Below are 23,805 nucleotides of genomic sequence, written 5' to 3'. Positions count from 1 at the left end.
TCCTAACACAGGGACATCAGTCTTCTCAGTGTGAGAATAGGAGACTTTGAGAGAAATATACCAGGAGGCCTGAGGGCAAGTCTTGAGAGAACTGACTTGGTTCCTTTCATGAGCCTTGGGCAAAATGCCCCTGTTTTGGAATGTGATCTTCCCAGTGTGCTCTGTCCTAGGTTTGTGTACACAAATGAGCAATGTTTTTCCCAATAGATTTGAGGCAAATCATTCTAATGCCTCATAGGAGAGATACTGCAATATTCAGGCTTCTCTCTTCAAATACCCAGATTTGATAGTTTATGAGATTGTGGACACTGAGATTTGATGGAGGGGTGCAATGTACCAGCTCTTGAGTCAAAGTGACACTTGGTTCTACACAGAAGCATCAGCTATCATGGCTTTTGTGGGTGAAAAGTCAGCCATTTATCTAGAAAACATACCAGCAAGATGATGGACAGATGAGCTATGACAAGCCAACTTAGAAGACACAGAAAAGGGGGAAAAATTCAGTGAAACCTGGGTCACATCTTCCACGGAGAGGTAGACAAGGGTGACACTGGCCTTGGGCAGGTAAAGCACTGCACAGACATGCTTTGGGAACAAAACTCATAAAGAACTTTGTAGCTGGCAAGAGACGTTTAACTCAGGTGAGCTGATCTGACAGACAACTCCTGGACATATGCTGCACAGCTTGGTGTGAGTTTGCCACGCCCGTCTTGTGTTCAGTGTCCTGACAGTCAGTCCAGGGTGGCACAGGCATGGCCTGAGACTAGGAAGAGAGCAAAGCTCACTGACCCACCCCACGCCTGTGCTTCAGACTCGATTCCAGAGTGATTGAAATCTACATTGATATATAGGTTCCACCCACAGTGATGGCAACTCTCAGCCCAACCAGGGTCACAAGGCCCAAAGATTATGGGGTCTACCTGGGACATGAACTGGAGCTTTATCACCTTCAAAATGGAGTACTCACTGCCTATGTCAAGAGCCAAGCCGACTTGCTGTTCCTCTACTGAGTGAAAGGTGCTCCTGTCAGACTGGTATGAGGCAGACATGTCAGGAGGAATTGAGAGAGTCCAATCACCTTCATCCCAGGACTCCTGGGGGGCTTCCTCCTCTTCAGACTCCTGCAGATTCCTGATGAGCCAGGCAGGACAGGGATGACAGAAGATATAACCAACAGAGATTAGACAACAAAACCTTCCAGATGATCTGATGGGAGACAGAATGGAGTGCTCACAGAAACCAAAGGCATTTTTCCTTCAAGAGAAATAAAACTATCCTTCTAAATGCAGGCTGGAGGGTGACTGCTCTGAGGACCGAACAAAAATGGGCAGCACGTGCTCAGTACATTTGCCACAGATCAGCCAATGCAGGGCACCCAGACTCTCTCTGTAAACTACCATCATGACTTGCAGCACAGAGAACTAACACAGGGCTTCAACTACTTCGTCTAAATTGGGATGAATTTTACATGCAGCATTCAAGTGAACAGAGCTCTTGAGGCAGTGCAGACACAGATCTTGTGTATTAAGGGTCCCCTTTTTACAATATTTTGATATAATATGTTTATTTTTTCAATTTCTTTGCTTACACAAATACTAGCAAACACACTAATAAAAAATAAGCAGAAAGCATTTATACATTCTCTCCCTGGATTTAAACACATGGGAGAGAACAGGTGACACCAAGAAATCCCTGTTTGAAGGTCTGGAGTGGACCTCCAGCAAACTCCACCAGACCTGCTGCTGAGGGACCTCACTGTTAAAAGGAAAACTAACAAACAGAAAGGAATCAACGTCAACAAAAGGACATCCACACCAAAACCCCATCTGTAGGTCACCAGCATCAAAGACCAAAGGTAGATAAAACCACGAAGATGTGGACAAACTGGAGCAGAAAAGCTGAAAATTCTAAAAACCAGAGCGCCCCTTCTCCTCCAAAGGATCAGAGCTCCTCACCAGCAATGGAACAAAGCAGGACGGAGAATAACTTTGATGAGCTGACAGAAGTAGGCTTCAGAAGTCGGTAATAAACTTTTCCGAGCTAAAGGAGGATGTGCAAACCCATCACAAGGAAGCTAAAAACCTTGAACAAAGATTGGACGAATGGCTAACTAGAATAAACAATGTAGAGGAGACCTGAAATGACCTGATGGAGCTGAAAACCATGGCACGAGAACTACGTGACACATGCACAAGCTTCAGTAGCCGATTCGATCAAGTGGAAGAAAGGGTATTAGTGATTGAAGATCAAATTAATGAAATGAAGTGAGAAGAGCAGTTTAGAGAAAAAAGAGTAAAAAGAAATGAACAAAGCCTCCAATAAATATGGGACTATGTGAAAAGACCAAATCTACATTTGATTGGTGTACCTGAAAGTGACGGGGAGAATGGAACCAAGTTGGAAAACACTCTTCAGGATATTATCCAGGAGAACTTCCCCAACCTAGCAAAGCAGGCCAACATTCAAATTCAGGAAATACAGAGAACACCACAAAGATACTCCTCGAGAAGAGCAACTCCAAGACACATAATTGTCAGATTCACCAAGGTTGAAAGAAGGAAAAAATGTTAAGGGCAGCCAGAGAGAATGGTCGAGTTACCCACTAAGGGAAGCCCACCAGACTAACAGTGGATCTCTCTGCAGAAACCCTACAAGCCAGAAGAGAGTGGAGGCCAATATTCGACATTCATAAACAAAAGAATTTTCAACCCAGAATTTCATACTCAGCGAAACTAAGCTTCAAAAGTGAAGGAGAAATAAAATCCTTTACAGACAAGCAAATGCTGAGAGGTTTTGTCACCACCAGGCCTGCCTTGCAAGAGCTCCTGAAGGAAGCACTAAACATGGAAAGGAACAACCAGTACCAGCCAGCCACTGCAAAAACGTGCCAAATTGTAAAGACCATCAATGCTAGGAAGAAAGTGCATCAACTAACAGGCAAAATAACCAGCTCACATCATCATGACAGGATCAAATTCACACATAACAATAGTAACCTGAAATGTAAATAGGCTAAATGCCCCAATTAAAAGACACAGACTGGCAAATTGGATAAGGAGTCAAGACCCATCAGTGTGCTGTACGCAGGAGACCCATCTCACGTGCAGAGACACACATAGGCTCAAAATAAAGGGATGGAGGAAGATCTACCAAGCAAATGGAGAGCAAAAAAAAGCAGGGGTTGCAATCCTAGTCTTTGATAAAACAGACTTTAAACCAAGAAAGATCAAAAGAGACAAAGAAGGCCATTACATAATTGCAAAGGGATCAATTCAACATGAAAAGCTAACTATCCTAAATGTACATATATCCAATACGGGAGCACCCAGATTCATAAAGCAAGTCCTGAGAGACCTAAAAAGAGACTTAGACTCCCACACAATAATCATGGGGGACTTTAACACCCCACTGTCAATATTTGACAGATCAATGAGACAGAAGGTTCACAAGGATATCCAGGACTTGAACTCAGCTCTGCACCAAGCAGACCTAATAGACATCTACGAACTCTCCACCCCAAACCAACAGAATATTCATTCTTCTCAGCATCACATCACACTTATTCCAAAATTGACCACATAGTTGGAGGTAAAGCACTCCTCAGCAAGCACTCCTCAGCAAATGTAAAAGAACAGAAATCACAACAAACTGTCTCTCAGACCACAGTGCTATCAAATTAGAGCTCAGGATTAAGAAACTCACTCAAAACTGCACAACTACATGGAAACTGAACAACCTGCTCCTGAATGACTACTGGGTAAATAACGAAATGAAGGCAGAAATTAAGATGTTCTTTGAAACCAATGAGAACAAAGACACAACATACCAGAATCTCTGGGACACATTTAAAGCAGTGTGGAGAGGGAAATTTCTAGCACTAAATGCCCACAAGGAAGGGAAAGATCTAAAATCAACACCTTAACATCACAATTAAAAGAACTAGAGAAGCAAGAGCAAACAAATTCAAAAGCTAGCAGAAGGCAAGAAATAACTAAGATCAGAGCAGAACTGAAGGAGATAGAGACACAAAAAACCCTTCAAAAAAATCAGTGAATCCAGGAGCTGGTTTTTTGAAAAGATCAACAAGAAATCCCTGTTTGGCTAGTTCACCTGGCTCATCTGATTGCAAGTTCCTATCTTGAGAGGACTACGAAATTAAAACCAACACAAGGGCCACAAATAATGTACAACATTGTTAATAAGGACAACTTGTAGCTGGGTGAATGGAATAAAAAGTTCTATTCATTGCTTCCTCATTTTCTCTAAATCTACAAACTCCAGCTGCCACTATTGAATTAACAGCCCACAATTCCATGGCATTACCTGGGAGACACTGGCCCTTTTTCTTCCTCTTGCTCATGATCACTTTCATTTTCTGGAAATAAATTCAGAGAAGCAGGTCACATTAAGCAATTCACACTCCACATATGACCAAATCAGTGTCCAGTCATAGGACAAGGACATAACTATTCTCAGTGCAAGAATATGGATTCTGACAGGAGCACTCCAGGGTGCCCTAGATTAACTCTGGTGAGAAGTAGATGACCCTGCTTTCCAGACCCACAGGCCAAAATTTCCCTCTATGGGTAGACCATAATGCCATATTCCCTGCCTGAGTCTATGCAAAGTTAAACAAAATTTTCCCCCCAAAGTCGCCAATAATTGGTCAAACAATTTTCTAGGAGTGTTGTTGCAATACTGACTTATATCACCAGGTAACATGGACATTAAATGTTTAGAGGGATCTACACATGAAACTCGACTGATAGATAAATTCTAACAACTCTTGCATTAAAAAGAATCTGTGATTTGGGAGGTCAAGGAAGGTGAATCATTTGAGGTCATGAGTTCAAGACCAGCCTGGCCAACATGGGGGAACCCCGTCTCTAATAAAAATACAAAAATTAGCCAGATGTGGTGCTGAGCACCTGTGGTACCAGCGACTCAGGAGGCTGAGGCAGGAGAATCACTTGAACCTGGGAGGTGGAAGTTGCAGCAAGCCAAAATGGAGCCATTGCACTCCAGCCTGGGTGACAGAGCCAGACTCCATCACAAAAAAAAAAAGAAAAAGAAAAAGAAAAGAAAAGAAAAAGAGAGAGAGAATCTATGATGCTACAAAACATTGCATCAGCCATTGCATTGATGGGGTGGAGAACCAGGGTCCAGCCTTGCTTTATGGAACTATATCAGCAAAGTAAAAAAGAAAAGTTTCTGTCCTGATTTCAAGGTGACTGTGCAGCTAACCAAGCAGACTCAAAGGAGATCAAGATTAAAGCTGAGAGCAGTGAAGCCTGGGGAACAATATTTCCAAACACAAAGGCAAGGCTGCCAGTCGCCTTAAAAAGGCAGAGAAATTTCATGGACATTGTTCAGGGACAGACGACTTAATCACAGGTGACAAGAGATACTGAATCAAAGGTACGAGGCCTCACAGATACTTCCTGTGTACCTCCTGCACTCAGGTGACTATGAGATTGTCACACTTGTCTGGGGTCCAGTAACTTGACACTGGGGACTGTGAGACAAAGGCATGACATGAGCTGAGAAGGACAGAAAACCTCCTTGATATCTCTGTTAAGAATACCATAATAGATTTTATTAAAACCAATCTGTGTGTATAGAGCCTGTCTTCAGAGTTTATATTCCTCAGCATAGGAAAAGGTGTGAGACACAGGAAAATAGAGGCTACCTGGGATAATGCATACAGCATCCAACCATTCATCATGAGAGGATGAGTCAATGAGAGTTGAGTCGACTTGGTCTTCCTCAAATGTGATTCTGGTGTTCCCGTAAGGCTGGTTGGACTCACAAGGGTGGTGGCTATTTGAACAAGTGATGGCACACTCCTCCAGTGAGTCCTCAGGGACTTCCTTTTCTTCAGCCTTCTGCACCTCCCTGATGAGCCAGGTGGGATAGAGATGACAGAAGACTAAACACAGAGGGATTGGACACCAGGGAGTGCTAGCTGGTTTCGACAGGAGGCATTAAGAGAGTGGTCCAAGAAAGCAAACAGGAGGATCCCTTTAAGAGGGAACAGGCAATCCTCTTCTCTCTGCAACAGAGCATGGCAGCCATGGGAGCCAGAGAGGAAGACAGCAACTGGTGTTCATTGCACTGGACAGATAGGAGCCGAGGAGGATGAAAACTCAGCTATCCCTGTACGGTACAGACATGACACCCACCACACACAGAGAAACACAACAGCTGCCACACCCTGTGTCCAAGCTGGCTTGAGTTTCTCATACTGTGGCCAAGGGAATGCAGGCTTTCGGCCCATCATAGATGCCAGAGAGGGTGTGCCTCCTAGACCTTTTTCATATGTTACCACCCATTACTTGCTCCCGATTATTCAGCGTTACCTGGGGGCATATAATTCCTGTACTTTCTCAGCCTCCTCAACTTTAACATCTTCATCCTCATCGTCATCATTTTCTGTAAATACAGAAGTGTTCATTCAGATATTTCCCAATTCACACTCTGCAAGCACAGTCAGCCGAATGTGCACACAGACATGAACATCTAGGCATGGTCACTGTTCAGCTGAAAGCTCTCATGTTTTATCGTTAACAAAATGCCCTGGCATGGTTTCCCGATCCATCAGGCAATGCATTTCTGATCTGGAGGGCCACCATCAAGATGTGGCCAAATACTGAAAAGACCTTTTGCTCCCCATATCATGGAGGCTCCTACAGCCTCTCTCTGAACTTTGGCAGCTGTCTCCCCCATCTGGCTACAGGTCTGATTCCCAGGCACGGGCTTGGTGTCCTGTCACAGTTCACATTTCAAACCTAATTCTTTCTCTTAGGAGAGGACAAACTTGCCCTACAGTCCTCTATGCATCAGGAGACTGCACAGGCCCTCCATGTGGCTTCTGCCCTGTTATTCAGGGACATTCTCTCCATGAAGAGTGCTCCAGTATCAAGCACTTCCTACCACCAAATGCCCCCACATCAAGTGCCTTCTCTAACACCACATGGCGAGGGGCTTTATCTCATTTTGAAAAGCAGTCCTAAGTGTTCCCACATTTGGATGCTTCAGACTCTTGCAAGAGACAATTTGCCTGCCTTTGCAGATGGAGACAGAGAAACTCAGGAAGGATAAATCACTCACTCACCGACAGTTACTAAGAACATTGCCAAAGAGACAGCCTGGGAACCTGCCTTCTGAGTCCAGAGCTCTTTTCACTCTAAAAAGCGCCCTCCCGTCACAGCCTCCTTCCTGTCCTTTAAAACTAGAAACGTGCAGCTTCTTGCTCCAAAGACCACCTTCCATCAAGGGAGGAGGGACATTTGAAATACTGTGACCTCCAACCCAATCGGTTTCCCACCTCTGTTCTTACCCAGGAAGTCCTGGTTATGTCACTTATGTCACGGCCACATACGTTTAGTGGGAAAAAACACCACCGATACAAATGTCATTGTGAAAGTATGGAGGTCTGAAGTCTCTCATAAGCCTGGGGTTTTGGGTCATCAGGGCCTATGGCCACCTCACCTGGGCTGAGCTTTTGGACGAGGTGCTGTGCCAGCCTACATCCCTCAGCCAGCTGTTCTCGGAGGTCCCGTCCCTGGGAGTTGTCCGGCTCATCCGGAGTGAGGAGGGCCTGGAGATGCTGATTCAATGAGCGGGAGGCATCTCTCCCTTCCTGTAACTTCTCCCTTAACTGGGTCAGCTCTCGTTCCTGAGAGTGAACCAGGACTTTATATTGCCTAAGGTGAGATAGTAGAGAAAATTTAACAGTGGAAAGGGATGAGTGATCAGTTCTAATATTTTGCAACACAGATTTCTGAGACAATGTCCTCAAGGAGACCTCCAAGCAGAAGGTCAGCACATGTTTAAAGAAATGTCTGTGCCCAAGAGAAAGAATAAAAAATGGTTCACAGGCTTCCTCTGTATGAGAGAGGGCTCCTGGAAGACCCTCCATGATGTTCCATTCATCTTTCTCTTCTGTCAACAAAAGTAGGTGTCTTCCTCATTCAGTTTCAAAAAGACATCCATCCTTTCAGTTCCTCACTCTGGCCATGGACATTTCCACGTGCATATACACATAGTGCATCTTGCAGCGACTAGATACAAAGCCATGGACAGAAATGAGGCCAGGTGCAGATGGGGCCAATTGAAAAGATGAAAGAAAGGAATGACAGGCTCGAGAAGGTAACATTGAGTGAAAGCATGAGAAGCCGCAGTCAGTCAGGAGCTGATTCTGACTAAGGGTGAGTGGGGTGGTGATGGCACATCACTTTGAGTATGCCGAATGCTGCTCGGTGGTTCCCACTCCTTCGGTTAATTTTGTGTTATGCGCATTTCACCTCAACAATTACTTGTTTGAAAAACAGAAAATAAGGCTCTGAAAAACAACTGCAACCCATAACTTATTATTATCCTTGTTCTCTGCTTGATAAATCTTTGTGTGTCGTGAGCCTGCCATGGCAATTCCTGCCCTTCCCCTGGCCCAGTTCAGCTCTTAGTTCTCCCTGCCGAGCTGCTGTACTTCAGATATTTACACACCTGCCCACCTGCCTGACCCCAGGGGGCCCACTCACCTGAGCTCCTCAGCTTGCCCGAGCTCCTCTGCAAGCTTCTCTTCTGTGAGCAGCCGCTCATCCCTCAGCATAGATTTTATGAGGTCTTTGCAGTCTTCATAGTCTGAGAAAAGACACACACGCCTGCCTCAGTGAAAGGCTGGACATGCTGCTCTGGTCACTGCCTACAGGGCAGGAGCCAGGTCCATCCCAAGGACAAAACTGTCCCCACTGCCAGGCTCTACGTAGGGATTTCCACATCTTTACTCTTCAGTCTCCCGACTTACTGGCAGCTGATCCTCCAAAATTTAGAGACGAAGAGAAACTCAAGGCACATCAAGGAAGTTGACAAGATGATTCAACCACAATGAAGTGGAGTCAGAATTCACAGCCCCTGAGGTCTGACTCTGAATGCGGGGCCACTTTCCCAAGCCTTGCAGCCTCTCCTCTAAAGCACTGCACTGGGGCATGAAGTAGTGATTTCTTGTACAGTTGGGAAGGCCCCTAGGACTATGGGACTGATGGTTTCCCTTTCACTGGGAAGTTCAAGGACAAATATGTCAAAGATCTTAAACATCTTTGATTTTTACATCATAGCTTTAGATGTGATTTTAAGAATCACATCTGAAGCATAAAGGATGAGACGTAAGACCATAAGGCCATGAAGGAAATCTGCCCGAATACTAAGGTTTGTGTTAATTTAGAAACAGTAGAATGAAGAACTAACAGAGTGTTAACTCTGTGCCAATAAAAGTTCTAGGAGATTGACAAGAAACAGCTCATGTAACTCATTGCAGCAATTTACAGAGGTAGGTATTTCTGTAGTACCCTATGTACAGATGAGGAAACTGAGGGACAGACAAGACAAGCAACTTGGATGGAGCCCAGGAGACAGGCCCAGAGTCCCTGGTCTGCACACTGCACTGCTACTTCCACACAATCTCGGGTGCGATCCTTCTTCCTCTTTAGGAACAAGAGCCTGTGCCCCAGGAAGCAGGACTTCCCTCTCACCGGGTACTCTCTGCTTTTCTTTTGACGAGTCTTGCCCTATCGCCCAGGCTGGAGTGCAATGGCGTGTTCTTGGCTCACTGCAACCTCTGCCTCCTGGATGCAAGGGATTCTCCTGCCTCAGCCTCCTGAGTAGCTGGGATTACAGGCGCCCGCCACCACGCCCAGCTAATGTTTGTATTTTTAGAAGAGATGGGGTTTCTCCACGTTGCCCAGGCTGGTCTCAAACTCCTGACCTCGTGCTCTACCCGCCTCAGCCTCCCAAAGTGCTTGGATTACAGGAGTGAGCCACCGTGCACGGCCCCTACTCCCTGCTCTTGATGCTGTCACTTACAGATACCACAGGTTCTATTAGGAGCAGACTCCCCTTGAAGCCCCTCAGAGCGGGTACTGTGTACTATCACCAAGTTTTCCTCAGGGTCCCCAGAACAGAGCTTTGCCTATTGGGCCTCAACAGAAGCTTGAACACAATAAGGGTTCACTAGTCCCACACATTTAGAACAACAGACTAGATGTTATTTGTCTGCCGGATCTTATATGGTACAGAGAGGATTCTTGAAAACACGATTTAGCCTCTTGGAGAAAACAGGTCGTTCTGTGCCTGTGTCCCAAATGAATAACTGCGATTTTAACTCTAGGCCCACCCCCACCTGACTGCAAACATGGAAAGTTGCTAAATACTTTGGTACCTCTGACTTCCCAATTTAACAAAATGTGAAAATGCCCATTTCTATTTTCCTAGAAGTATGGGAGGGTTGAACTTATTTTTGATGGAGAGAGCATTTAGTTTCTCAGCGAGAAGACAGGACATCATTCATCGCTTTTGTGATGGTGAGCCTATAGAACTTACCGTAATTATTTTGCCGGTTGGCCAGGAAGTAGGCCACTTGAGTTACAAGACATTTCTGTTTGAGGTTTCTGAACTGCTGTTTGTTCTCTGCCAGCTGGGGGCGCGATTTCTTGTTGATTTCTAGAATGTTCATCTCTGCCTTCTCACCGGACCAAGGGCCGGCAGATACCACCATGCTGACGTTTGTGGCAGAAGAGGTGGGGCCAGGGACTGGGGAGAAGACACCCAAACACACGATGGGTTAAAAACTGGTGAAATCAAATAGGTTTAATCAGGACTGAGGGATGTCAGTAACTGAAATTCTTAACTTACTGTTGAGAAAAATGTGATCAGTCCCCGCAGCACTTTAGGATCCTTAACGACAAAAACAATGTTCGAGGTGCCTGAGCTCAGAGCTGAAGGCACTGCCAATAGCTCAGTCTCCGACAAGAGTGAGGCCAGTGTGCCAGGTAACGGTCTGCAGTTGCAATAACAGAATTAGAAGGTGGGGGTGTCATGGAATCTTAGGAGCCCTGCATTCCAATTGCCCAGGCTTTGCTGAAACACAGGCACCCTCGTCTCACCTGAGGGTCACCACCAATGGGGATCATTCCTCTAAAATTCACTCTCAGTGTTCGTGTACCCTTGTGACAATGCCACAGACCCATCTCTTTCCCAATACATCTAAGCACATTCCTCATTGTTTATCGCTTGTTTGTACAACACCATCCAGGCAGAACCAGTTTCCCAACAGGTTATATTTTCTTAACGGTAGTCATGAAGTCACCCCACCTGCTCTCAGTTAAAACAGATCTTAAGGCTTTTCCACAAGTGTAAGATATCAAACTTTTAGCCTGCCCTGATTTCCTCTGGGTCTTCTGCAGTTTTGTCTGTATCCACTAGAAAGTGAATGAATAACTCATTTGTAAAAAATGTTGTCTTTCCTGTCTCAGTATTCTTCTTGCTGATTCCCATTGTTACGTTGATTTCTTTTTTCTCACTGGGGCACCATCTTTGCTTTTCATTACACTCTAGACCAGTTTGACATCCCTATGTCCAGAGCTCTTCCTCTATGTGGGTTGATTTGGTTTTTGATGTCACTGAGCGCTACATTTTATACTCGTCACTTATGGATGTCATTCTAGTATCACAAGAGCTCTTTTCAAGGTATCAAGTGACCAAAATCATTTATATAGAGATCTCCTGAACACATGTGTGACCATCTATCTTGGGAAGTTTCATAAACCTGATGCTATTTTGTTGTTTCCATTTTGTTTTCCCATATACTGAAAAGAACAGGGCCATGAGCGGCGGTTCTTATGGAATGTGGTTTGATATCTATTTCGTTGGGTTGGACTAACACCATTGATTTTTGGTTTCATTCCACTAACAGAACATGGCAAGATCAAGGTTATGGTCACGGTTGGTTGGTGATCCTCAGTGTTGCAGTAGAGGGTGAGTTTGAGATGAGAGGAATGAGTAGGAAAGAGTGATCCCCTGAACCACCTCCTCACTTTCTCAGCTTTCATCCCCACCTAGGTTTTGTGAGCCTGGAACTTGGGAGACTGTTCTGTAGCCCAGGTCTCCTAAGATTGGCTGCTGGACTTGCCTGAGTTGAGGGTGCAGTGAGTGTGATCCTGGGCTGCCCAGCATTCATGTGGTAGTGAAGGAAGGAGGACTGGATCAATCCCATTTCAAAGCATGTCTCTCTGCACTCCACGCTGTCCTCCAATGACACTGTAAGGAAACCGCTTTAAGACGTATCAACGGCTTTAAGTAAATGTATTTTCTGGCATCTGGGAGACCTGACATTCTGTGTCATAATGAAAATCTGTCATGTTTCTTTATTTTAAAAATGATAAAACTGCAGGTTCACAGAGTTACGTGGCTTACTTGAGGTCACACAGGGGTGAGTTTTCAGCACTGCCAATAAAAGCAATCACAGTAATTATTCAGTAATTATTCATAGGATCCATATAATTCAGTAAATATTCACATAATTATTTACCAGTTGTTCACTGACCAATTCGTACAAGGCATTTTGCTCAAAACTGTGCTTACATTTGGACATTGTATCTTCATCATAATCCTGTGGTAATGCTATTATCCGTAAGTAACAGGTAAGAAACTTGAAGAGGAGGGATAGCAAATCATGTATTTGGACATATTTCCTTTTTTTTTTTGGTTTTTGTGATGCTGGAAGAATGACCAGAATGAGTCATAGGAAGAGTATACATTCCTGTAGTATTGTCCAGGACAGAGGTGTGACCTCCTAGAGTACTGGGACCAAAATTCCCAAGTGTCTGCAACCTTGCTTTAACAGTATGGGAGATCACCTCTATCACCTGGAATTCCCCTGGAACTCTGGAATATACAAGAGAAGTATGAGACTTGGGTCTTCCCTTGGCTGTGTTTAATTCACTCTTCTATGGAATACCAATGATTCTCACTAAGACTTTGGCCTTTTCATAAGCACAATGTGCATTTTATGGAGAAGATTTTACACTTTGCTCTATTTAGAAAGAATAAATATGAGCAGTGGTTTAGGTTTTATGCCCTGGACTTAATATATTTCTGATTCCTGTTTTGAGATTAAATTCTCATGTAAATAGAAAAATACTTATTATTTCTCATAAGGCCAAGTGTGTTATTAGTTTGGATTTTTGAAGATGAAGCACAAACTTTTGATTTTATCTTTGTCTGTCTCTTGTCAGCGCCACTCGTTGTCTCTCAGTATGACCTGGACTTGCCCCTGCACTTACCCTCGTCCTGCTGAACCATCTCCATGCACTGTCCGATTCCATCAGTGATTCGGGCTCCTCCCAAGGCTCCCTGAAAAGGGCATGGAGGTCAGGACGTTAGGCACATTCCGGACACAAAGGCAACCCATACTGTAGAGTGGGCAGCTGTGTTTCCACTTCCCTAATATTCCAGTGGTGTCCTAAAACTGAAAGGAACACTTTCCCTTTTTAGGGGTCTGTTCTTCATGTCTCAGTGCCTCTGATCTAGTGAACACAACTGTCCTGAATGTGAAAGAACTTGCTAAATTTCTAGTTTCTTGTTAGGTGGCTAAAATACATTTATAAGACTTCCTTACTCACCCATGACTGCTGAAGTTTGAATTCTTAGCAGTACGATTCTTTTTCTTGTAAGGTCAGCAGCTTAGGAAAGATTGGCCATCTTCCTGTGCAAAAAGAGGCAAACTTCATTTCTACTCAAAGCATGCTTGAATTTGGAATTAGGGCTTCCACTCTTCCGAAGTTGGAGTGTCACTGCGACAGGCATGTGTCCCGAAGGGCTCGTGTCTCTGCTATACTCAAAGTTTAAATGGAGCCCAGCAAGCCAGATGTCCTTTACTTCTAGGTTCCCTCAAAAGTTTCTCCTCTGCTTCAGAGACTGCATTGAAAATATTCTTGTTCTGCTGTTGTGTTTTGGCTTTGGAATGATGTGATGCAGCTCAATGGGTCCCACCCCCAAGTTGATCAAAGTAAGAAACAGCTGGGAAAGTCAGTGCAAATACAAGTTCATTGTCCTCCTTGCAGGGATTCTGATTCAGAGGGCTCAGGTGGGGCCTGGAATGTGTTTGTTAATATGACTCAGATGTGCAGTCAATTTGGGGACTCACTGACAGCATTGACCTTACAGTTTATGGGATGATTCTTTCTGTTTTGCTGATGAAGAAATGGAGGCACACAGAGTCTGTAACTTGCCCAAGTTCCCCTTGTTGTAAGTCCTGGAGCCAGATCTCAGGTGGACCAGTGCTTCTCTCCCCTATACCTCATTTCTGAAAAAAGGAAATCTTCTGGAATTTAACTTCTTTCATCTAACACATTTCCTCACAACATGCAGCCAGCATCATATTTTGGCCACTTACTATTAAAGTGAGATGCTTTTTTTTTTTTTTTTTTTTTTTTGAGACAGGGTCTTATTCTGTCACCCAGGCTGGAGTGCACTGGTGATTATAGATCACGGCAACCTTGAACTTCTGGGCTCAAGCGATCCTCCTGCCTCAGCTTTCCAAGTAGTTGGAACTCTAGGCACACATCACCATTTCTGGCTAATTTTTTATTTTTCATAGAGACAAGGTCTTGCTATGTTGCTCAGGCTGGTTTTGAACTTCTGGCCTCAAGCGATCCTTCCACCTAGTTCTCCAAAAGTGCTGGGATTACAGAAGTTAGCCACTGAACCTGGCCCTGAAATGCTTTTACTTTCTTTTTTTTTTTTAATGAAAATACTGGACATGGAGATGTGGAAAGACACCTTGCTTTATTACTTTTGTTGTTATTATTATTTCTACAGTAGAATTTATACATCACAAAATTCACCATTTTTAAGCATACATTTCAGTGTCTTTTACCATATTCCAAAACTTTCACAACCATCGCCACTACCTAATTCCAGAATATTTTCATAATGCCAAAAAGCATGCCTGTACCTATGGGCAGACACTCTCCAATTCCCCCCCTCTTGTGCTCTCTGACAACCACTAATCTACCTTCTCTATATATTGATGTACTTGTTCTGGGCACTTCCTCTATATGGAATAACAAAGTGTGGTATTTTCTATCTGCTTCTTAGAATATTGTTCTCAAGTTTCATCCTTTCTAGCCTGCATCAGTACTTCAACTTTTTATGGCCAGATAATATTCCACTATATGGTTATACCACATTTTGTTTATTCATCAACTGATGGTGGTTAAAGATGTTTCCACTTTTTAACTATTATGAATAATGCTGCTGTGAACAGCTTTGTACAGGTTTTTGAGTGAACACCTGTTTTTCATTTTCTTGGTTATAAACCTAGGAGTGCAATTGCTGCATCATATGTCACTTTATGTTTAACTTTTTTTATGTTTAACTTTTTGAGGAACTCACACACTGTTTACTAACTTCAGTAGCTACATCATTTTAGATTCCCAATAGTAATATATGAGAATTCGATATTCTCCATCACTTTTGAAACATGTGTTGTCTTTATTTTTTTCTTAAGTCATACTGCTGGGTGTGAAGTGGTATCTCATTTTGGTTTAAATTTACATTTTCCTAATGACGAAAAACATTGAACATCTTTGCATGTGCTTCTTGGCCATTTGAGTGTTTCCTTTAGAGAAACCTCTACTCACAGCTTTTTTCCCCATTGTTAAATGTGGTTGTCGTTTATTGCTCAGTTATATGAATTCCTTATATACTCTAGGTACTAGACCTGTGTCAAACATATAATTTGGAAATAGTTCTCCCATTATGTGGATTATCTTTTCACTTCCTTGACAGTGTCCTTTGAAGCATATAAGTTTTTTATTTTAATGAAGTCCATTTATCTATTTTTCGGTTGTTTGTGCCTACTTAAAAAATGTCTAATCCAAAGTCACAAAGATTTGTACCTATGTTTCCTTCAAGACATCGTCTTTTGAATGAGAACTTTCCTGGGTTTTAGAGGACGGTGGACATTGTTTATTTATGCCTCCTGTCCATTACCGATGTTTCTCCTGATTCTTATTCATATGCTCACCACCCCTCCATGGAGCATCCATGGCCTGTGACAGAGCTCTGGGGACTGATATCCTTCCACTGACTTTGGCGCTGGTGAGAGCCCTGGTCATGTGATTCAGCTTGGCCTTAACCCGACCCAGTTGCACATATTCCTCAGGCCCTTTAGAGTTGAAGTCGAGACCTCTCTGAGAACGCTTGCCAGCCCATGCTGTTCTAAGGCTGGAGCAAACTTCCTCCATCTATTCCAGACAGAGGGGACTGCAGGGGTTGGACTCACTCAAGATACCTCTGGTGTTAGAAAGAAGACCTGTTTCAGGGTTTGGGGAAGATTGCTCAATATGAACTAGGTCCTCTCTAATTATTTTTACTGTATGTGTGACTTCTTTCTAGAAACAAGGGAAGAATATTTATGTTAGAATATTTTGTCTATTCTTTGTCAATTGTTGTTTATCTACAATTTTAACATGGATAAAGGAGAGTTCAGTGTCAATATATTCTTAGCAACTAATTATGGCTCATGTCCACTGCCATGCGATCATATTTAAATCTATCAACTATCCTGTTACTTAGGTAGTATCCTGTTCCTGATGAGAAAACAAACTCAGAAAGATTGCAAAATTTCCCTAGGTCACAAAACTAGTGAGGAGAGGAATAAGAATTAGAAACCAGTTCCTTTTGGCCTTCAAAGCTAACCTTGTACCATTAGATCAAACTGATTCACATATTTTTGCTGGAATTAGTCTCAGAGTTGTGGTTCTCACTTGATTTTCCCAAGGAAACAGTGTGTCACTTGAATATCATTTCAAACTTTGAAATTTAAAACTCTTTTTATTATACTTTTTTGTCTTTGTTCTATTCCATTGCTTTTGGTTTCTTCTCAATGGATCCCTCTTATTTCTAGGCTAAATATTTGTTATCTACTTTCCATCAATTTTCAATTTTTGAGTGTTTGTTATCTCTCTGTTGTATGCTAACAGTTCTTCACTGAGGTAAAATTTGCATAGAGTATACTGCAAAAAACCTAAAGGCACAGCTTAATAAATTTTAATATAATTATAATTGTAAAGTAACACCCAGTTAAAGACAGAGAACATTTTCCCCCATGCCACAGAGTTCTGATGTGGTCCTTGCCAGTCAATACTCATTCCCCAAATGAAGAATATATTCTGAATGTTGTCACCGCCTTAGCCCCTTTGTGTTGCTGGAAAGGAATACCGGCGGCTGCGTAATTTATCAAGACAAGAGGTGCCTTTTGCTCATAGTTCTGCAGGCTGTACAAGAAGCATGGCCCCCGCATCTGCTCCTAATGAGGGCCTGAGGCTGCTTCCACTTGCAGCAGAAGGTGAAAAGGAACCAGGGTGTGCAGAGATCATATGGCGAGAGAGGAAGCAAAAGAGAGCAAGGAAAGGTGAGAGGCACTTTTTAATAACCAGCTCCTACAGGAACTAAGAGAGTGAGAATTCACTCACTACCTTCTCCCAGGGTGGGGATTCATCTATTCATGAGGGATCCACTCCCATGACCCAAACACCTCCCATTTACCCCCACCTCCGACACTGGGGACCACATTTAAACATGTGATTTGGAGGGGACCAATATTTAAACTTAGCAGCCACCATAGATTCATTTTGCTTGATCATGTGCTTCATAAACATGGAATCATTTTGGCTGGGCCTGGTGGCTCATGCCTGTAATCCCAAGACTTTGCAAGGCTGAGGCGGGCAGATCACCTGAGGTCAGGCGTTCAAGACCAGCCTGGCCAACATGGTAAAACCCTGCCTCTACTGAAAATACAAAAAATTAGCCAGGCATGGTGGCAGGTGCCTGTAATCCCAGCTACTTGGAAGGCTGAGGCAGGGAAAATTTTTTGAACCTGGGAGGCAGAGCCGAGATCGTGCCACTGCACTCCAGACTGGGGGACAGAGTGAGACTCCATCTCAAAAAAATTAAAAAAAGGAATCATTTAGTACTTCCTCTTGTTTTGACTTCTCCTACTCAGGTGCTTATATATGCCACTAATTTGTTTGACTGTGTTTTTCCCTTGTTTCGTTTTGTTTGGCCAAGTAATATCCTATTGTTTGTATGATTATCACACAATTTGATATCCATTTTTCTGACGGGAGACAGGTTTACTTGTTGGCTACTGTGCGTAAGTAACTATGAATATTCTCATATAATTATTTCTGTGAATGGACATACTGATTTTCCTGGGTCTCTATAGCTACGGATGGAGTTGCTTGGTGAATGGGAAGAAAATGGACACAGAGCTTTGCAAAGTCATTGTATTATTTTACATTTCTATGAAAGATGTAGGCCATTTCCAGTTGCTCTACATTCCCACACACTTAATATTTTCAGTCTTTTAAATTATAGCCATTCTACTAGGTGGGTAGTGATATCCTGTTTTGGTTTTCTCATGCCTAATGTTCAGTAAGATATCTTCTTATGGAAAATATCTTCTCAAAATTTTATGTTCATTGAAACACTGGTGTGTTTGTCATTTTCTTGTAACCTATAGGAGTTCTTTATATATTTTGAATGCATCCATTTATATATACACATTTTTTGCTATATTATATAGCAAATAATTATTTGCTATTCCTGGTCTACAGATAGCTTTTAAGTTGTTAAACAACAACATAATAAGCAGAAGGTTTTTAAAAATGAAGGGCAATTTGCTTGATTTCTTATTGTGGTGAGTGTTACAGTATCTAGTCTAAGAAACATTTTCCTGTGTCAAGTCCACGAAATTAGTTCCTATTTTTCCTTTACAAGGTTTCTAATTTTAACTTTCACATCTTAAGTTAATTTCAGTGTATGATGAAGAGTGGTTAATATTAACTTTTTAAAACCACAAATATTATTTCACTCAAAATCCTTTTACTTAAAAGTCTTCCATTTCCTCAATGAAGAGCATTGGTGTCTTTGTTTTTAAAACATTTAGAAGTAGCAGCGTGAGCACGTTCTCACTCATGGATGGGAACTGAACAATGAGAACACTTGGACACAGGGCGGGGAACATCACACACCACGGCCTGTCCCTGGGGTTGGGGGCTGGAGGAGGGATAGCATTAGGAGAAATACCGAATGTAAATGACGAGTTAATGGGTGCAGCAAACCAACATGGCACATGTACACCTATGTAACAAACCTGCACGTTGTGCACAAGTATCCTAGAACTTAAAGTATAATAAATATATATATATGGCGGTGCGAGGGCCACTGCACAGCCAGCAGAGCCGTGGTGAGGACGGCAGTGCCTGCACGCAGCTCTCCGCCTCCCCTGCCCGCCAGCCCAGGCGGCCCCAGCAGCAGCGACCAGAGGAGCCCCCGCAGCCGCGCAACGGCCAGGTGGACGCCTCTATCTACAGCCTCGTGGCGGATGGGACCTGTTAGGTTCGCGGCCATCGTGGGCAACAAGGACTCACCCTCCATCTGGGCCGCCGTCCCAGGGAAAAACCTTCGTGAACATCACGCCAGCTAAGGTTGGTGTCCTGGTTGGCAAAGACTGGTCAAGCTTTTTCGTGAATAGGCTGACACTGCGGGGCCAGAAATGTACTGTGGTCCTGGACTCACTGCTGCAGGATGGGGAACTGACCGTGCATCTTCAAACGAAGAGCATCGGTGGAGCCCCCACCTTCAATGTCACTGTCACCATGATTGCCAAGACACTGGGCCTGCTGATGAGCAAAGAAGCTGTCCATGGCAGTTTCATCAACAAGAAATGTTATGAAATGGCCTCCCATCTTCAGCGTTCCCAGTACTGACCTCCTTTGTTCCTTCCCCTCAACCGTTCCCCACAGCTTTGCCCCCCTTTCCTTCTCATACACACATATACCATTTTAATTTTGGGGGACATTACCCCACACCCCTATTGCTGCCAAAACCACATGGGCTGGGGGCCAGGGATAGATGGACAGACACCTTCCTCTACCCATAGCCCTCCTGTGTGTTCTTGGAAAACGTTTTGGAGGGATTTTTTATGAATAAAAAAGATTCTACTAAAATAAATAACTACATATGTGGTCATATTGTTTGAATCTGTATTCTTTTACTTTGATATATTTATGAATACTTACACCAGTACTACCATTTTAAATTACTGTAGCTTTTAAATCAGGTTTGAAGTCTAGCAGAGTAAGTCCTCCAACTTACTGCTTCTTCAAGACCGACTTGCCTATTCTAGGTTCTTGGATTTTCAAATATATTTTGAAATTAGCTTTTACATTTCTCTAAAATCTCCTACTAGAAATATTAATCAGAATTCTGTTGAGGTAATATGCTAACAAAATTGAATCTTCCAATCAATGAACATGATATATATTTCTCTATTTAGTCTTCTTTAATTTTTCTCACCAATTGCTTTTACGGGCCTTGTACCCGCTTCATTGCATGTATTCTTAAGCATGTAATGATTCTGACTATTAATCTCGATTATGTTTTACTGAATTTCATTTTCTAGCTGCTAATTGCTAGTATGGAGAAATTAAGATGATGAAATCAATGTTATAAAGGCATCATTTAGGTACAACAGACTGCACCACTTTAAAATGTGTAATTCAATGCATGTTTACAAATGTATACACTAATGGAACTACTGCCACAACCAAGATAGAGGAATTTCCCTACGCCCCAAAGTTTCTTGTACCCCTTTGCAGTTCATCAGTCTTTCAGCCCTCGGCCTCAAGGAGCCGCTGTCACTTCAGGTCTGTTTCCATTTTTAACCATTTTCTATAAATGAAATTGTACCCGTATTCTTTTGTGTCTGCCTTCTTTCATGCATCAACATAATTTTAAAATCCATCCATATGAGTATTTGCATCAACGGTTAATGCCTTGTAATTGCTGAGTAGTATTCCTTTGTGTGGCTATACTGTGTTTGTTCATACTTTCACTTGTTATTGGACATTTCTATCATTCCACGTTTGGGCTATTATGAAGAAACTATCATGAGCATCCATACGTGGCAGGCCAGGTCTCACTAACACAGGCCTCCCTAACAACTGTTTCAGTACCGACTGAGTGGTTCAGTTAAATATTAAGAGGAAAAAAAAAAAAAAAAAGCCCATGCCCTTATTACAAAGGCTGGAATGTAACCAAAGCCCACCAAGAGCTTTGCCTGGGCTTTTCCTGGGCCTTAAAGCATGACAAAATAACGAAGACATTCTTAACAGGAGTCATTTAGTATTAAACAAGTTTTATTGGGGGTCTGAAGAAACTCCCCAGGCCTCCACAAACAAGTTTATTGGAGGTCTGAAGGAACTCCCCAAACCTCTGTGATTTAGCAGGAGACAAGATAAGGGTGCCCAGCACCTAGACCCATTTAGATTAAGTGAATTTACTGAGGCTCCAGAGGAAGGTCTTCAGGACTCAGACCTTAGTTATAGATTAGAAGAACTTAATCACTTCTGTATTTAGATGAATGCACACTTCCACATACACATATAGCTTAGAAGGTATATAAGCTCAGGAAAACTTTGTAATTTTGACTTGGTCTGGTGATAATTTCCAGGCCTTTTCCCTGTAATCAGTTGCAGAAGTAAAAACTCTCTTCCTCCCCAGTTCATCTGCATCTCGTTACTGGGCCACAAGAAATAGCAGTCCACCCCTCAGTCTGGTCTGGAAATACACATACAGATCATGTGCACACATAGTGTGTACATTCCTAGGAATGGAAGACTGTCCATCTGATTTGCATATGTTTAACCTTTAAGACATTGTTAGATTTTCAAAGGAGTCCTACCATTTTTCATTCCAAGTATAAGACTTCCAAGTGCTTTATATCCTCACCAACATGTGCTATTTTCAGCCTTTTTAATTTTAGCCATCCTCTTGGATATGTACTGCTATCAAGTTGTATTCATTGATCTCCCTGATGACTAAACAGTAGAGCATCTTTTCCTATGCTAATTGACCATTTATGTATCTTCTTTACTGAAGTATCTATTCAAGTCTTTTGAGAAATTGTTTCATTGTGTTGTTTCTTATTAGACATATATAAACACACATATATATACACATGCATATATATACATACATATATATACATACATATATATACATACATATATATATATATACACACACACACTCTAAAAACCCTTTGTTGGAAATAAATATGATATCTCCTATATTGTGGTTTCTTTTTATGTTCTCTTAATGTTCCCTGTTTGGAGATAACGATAGATAATCTTCAAAAAGGTGAATATACACACCCACACCCACCCACACACATACATACACACACACACACACACACACGTGAGCCACCAGACCCAGCCTGTTGAATTTATTTATAAGCACATGTATTTAGAAGTTACTTGAAATGAAATTGTATTTTTATTTCATTTTCCAAATGCTCATTGCTAATACACAGAAATACAAAAGACTACTTCTATTGAGCTTATACTCTGCAACATTACCAAACTCACTAATTAGCTTTGGCAGATTTTTGCAGATTTCTAGGATTATTAACATACACAGTCATTATCTGTGAATAAAGACAGCCTCAATTCTTTCTTTTCAATCTTTTCAATACTTTTATTTTTCTTACTTTATTGCACTGATTTAGATCTCTAGTATAATGCTGAATTGAAAGAATAACAACAGATATTCTACTTTTTTATCTGATTTAATAGAAAAGCATTCAATCCCATGCCATTTAATATAATGTTACCTGTGAGTTTTTTTCAAATCTACCCTTAATAGGGTTGGAAGTGTTGCCTTCTCTTCTTATCATGCTGAGTTTTCTGGGGTTTGTTTTTATAAATCATGAAAAATTTTTCAATTTTGCCAAATGCTTTTACTGTGTATGACAAGGTAATCATACGGTTTTTCTCTTTTGCCCTGATAATATATAACATTACATTTTCTAAAATATAAAAAAGATTTCTGGAATCAAGCTAGGACAGTTTTTTTAATTATAAACTTTTAACAAATATATTGAAATATAACTTACATGCAATTGAGATGCATGAAAGTGTATAATCATTAAAGTATATAATTAAAGTGTATAATTTTAAGAGTTTGAGCACAGTATACACGAGTCAAAGAGAAAGGACAGAAAATACTAAGGATGGCTCAGCATATGTGGTCTATCTTGGTGAATGCTCTATGTGAGTTTGAGGAGAGTTATTTGTTAGCTGTTCTTAGATGTATTTTGCTTAAATGTCGACTTGGCTAACTTGTGTCATTGATTGTGTGAATTAATTTTGCTCTAGTGGGCGTAAAATTACTGTCTGATCGATCACTTTGGACTTATGTGGACTGGTTTATGTTTTATTACAACGGATTCATGGAAAGCCCACAGAATTTCCCAAGACCCTCTAATTTGGCAGGACTCAATCACCAATCCACCCCTTTGTGGATTTTGTCAGGGTTTGGCTTTAGGCTTTACCAGGTTGGTGAACAATAGGCCTTATTGAAAAGTGTGACACTTATTCCTAAAGCACATCCATTCTAGTGTCTCAGTTGGATACCTGGGTGCTAATGAGGTGTGCATGAGTTCTTCCCACCGTGGATGGCAGAAACTCCATCATACATTCCCCAACCCTCCTCCGCCTCAAGTACCTCTGGTCCAAACTCAATTTTATAGCAGCCACCCCTCTGTTAAATCTGTTAGTCTTTTCCTTGTGCAGGTACAGTCCAGTCCTTGATAAGGATGCATATGGAACCCCACATAGACTTTGAGAGCTGCACCTTTGATCAGCTGTCTCCTCATTGGTGCCCTGCCCTGCAGATTGCAGTTGCTTCAATGGTCTTGAACTCTGATCTCTGCCTTCTCAGCTCAGTGGGCTGCCCTGCCCTGAGTGGACTCTAGCCCACTATGCAGCTGCTGAGAAATTCTCCCCAAAGAACTAGGAAATCATGGGGCTTCCCCCTTAAGTTTTCTGTTGTACTGCCTGTCGTACACTGCTGAAAACAATTTTACGGTTGTTTATGGAGGCAGGGTTAGTCTGA

At 42.3% G+C, this 23,805-nt stretch overlaps 1 protein-coding gene and 1 pseudogene across 15 annotated transcripts in view, besides 1 other annotated feature; one reads left to right on the top strand and one right to left on the bottom strand.

The window, feature by feature from the left end:
* The window catches only part of NBPF3 (NBPF member 3), a 48,112-nt gene that overhangs the window by 5,626 nt on the left and 18,681 nt on the right, over positions 1-23,805 (bottom strand). For 3 of the 15 annotated variants that reach the window (XM_047432037.1, XM_047432038.1, NM_032264.6), the window contains exons 3-9: positions 10,378-10,587; positions 8,541-8,643; positions 7,492-7,706; positions 6,360-6,432; positions 5,690-5,895; positions 4,324-4,375; positions 968-1,131 (exon numbers count right to left, since the gene is read on the bottom strand). In XM_047432037.1, coding sequence (XP_047287993.1) covers positions 968-1,131; positions 4,324-4,375; positions 5,690-5,895; positions 6,360-6,432; positions 7,492-7,706; positions 8,541-8,643; positions 10,378-10,587 — 1,023 coding nt within the window. Of the gene's footprint in view, positions 1-967; positions 1,207-4,323; positions 4,376-5,689; positions 5,896-6,359; positions 6,433-7,491; positions 7,707-8,540; positions 8,644-10,377; positions 10,588-10,689; positions 10,835-11,965; positions 12,280-13,118; positions 13,189-13,457; positions 14,141-23,805 lie in introns of all 15 variants that reach the window. The other 12 variants (NR_046176.4, NM_001377493.1, NM_001330381.3 and 9 more) reach the window with 9 other exon arrangements.
* Positions 12,747-13,946: an enhancer, noted in NCBI's record as "CDK7 strongly-dependent group 2 enhancer chr1:21791822-21793021 (GRCh37/hg19 assembly coordinates)". NCBI's record gives its function as "activates an origin of replication core promoter dependent on BRD2, BRD4, P300/CBP, MED14 and CDK7 cofactors, with strong dependence on CDK7, by STARR-seq in HCT116 cells {active_cell/tissue: HCT116}" and the evidence as "EXISTENCE:reporter gene assay evidence [ECO:0000049][PMID:35650434]".
* PFN1P10 (profilin 1 pseudogene 10) lies at positions 19,073-19,851 on the top strand (annotated as a pseudogene).

This window comes from Homo sapiens, chromosome 1, assembly GCF_000001405.40.
Source record: "Homo sapiens chromosome 1, GRCh38.p14 Primary Assembly".
In the NCBI taxonomy this organism is placed as follows: Eukaryota; Metazoa; Chordata; class Mammalia; order Primates; family Hominidae; genus Homo; species Homo sapiens.
This window is presented reverse-complemented; position numbering and strand designations above follow the sequence as displayed.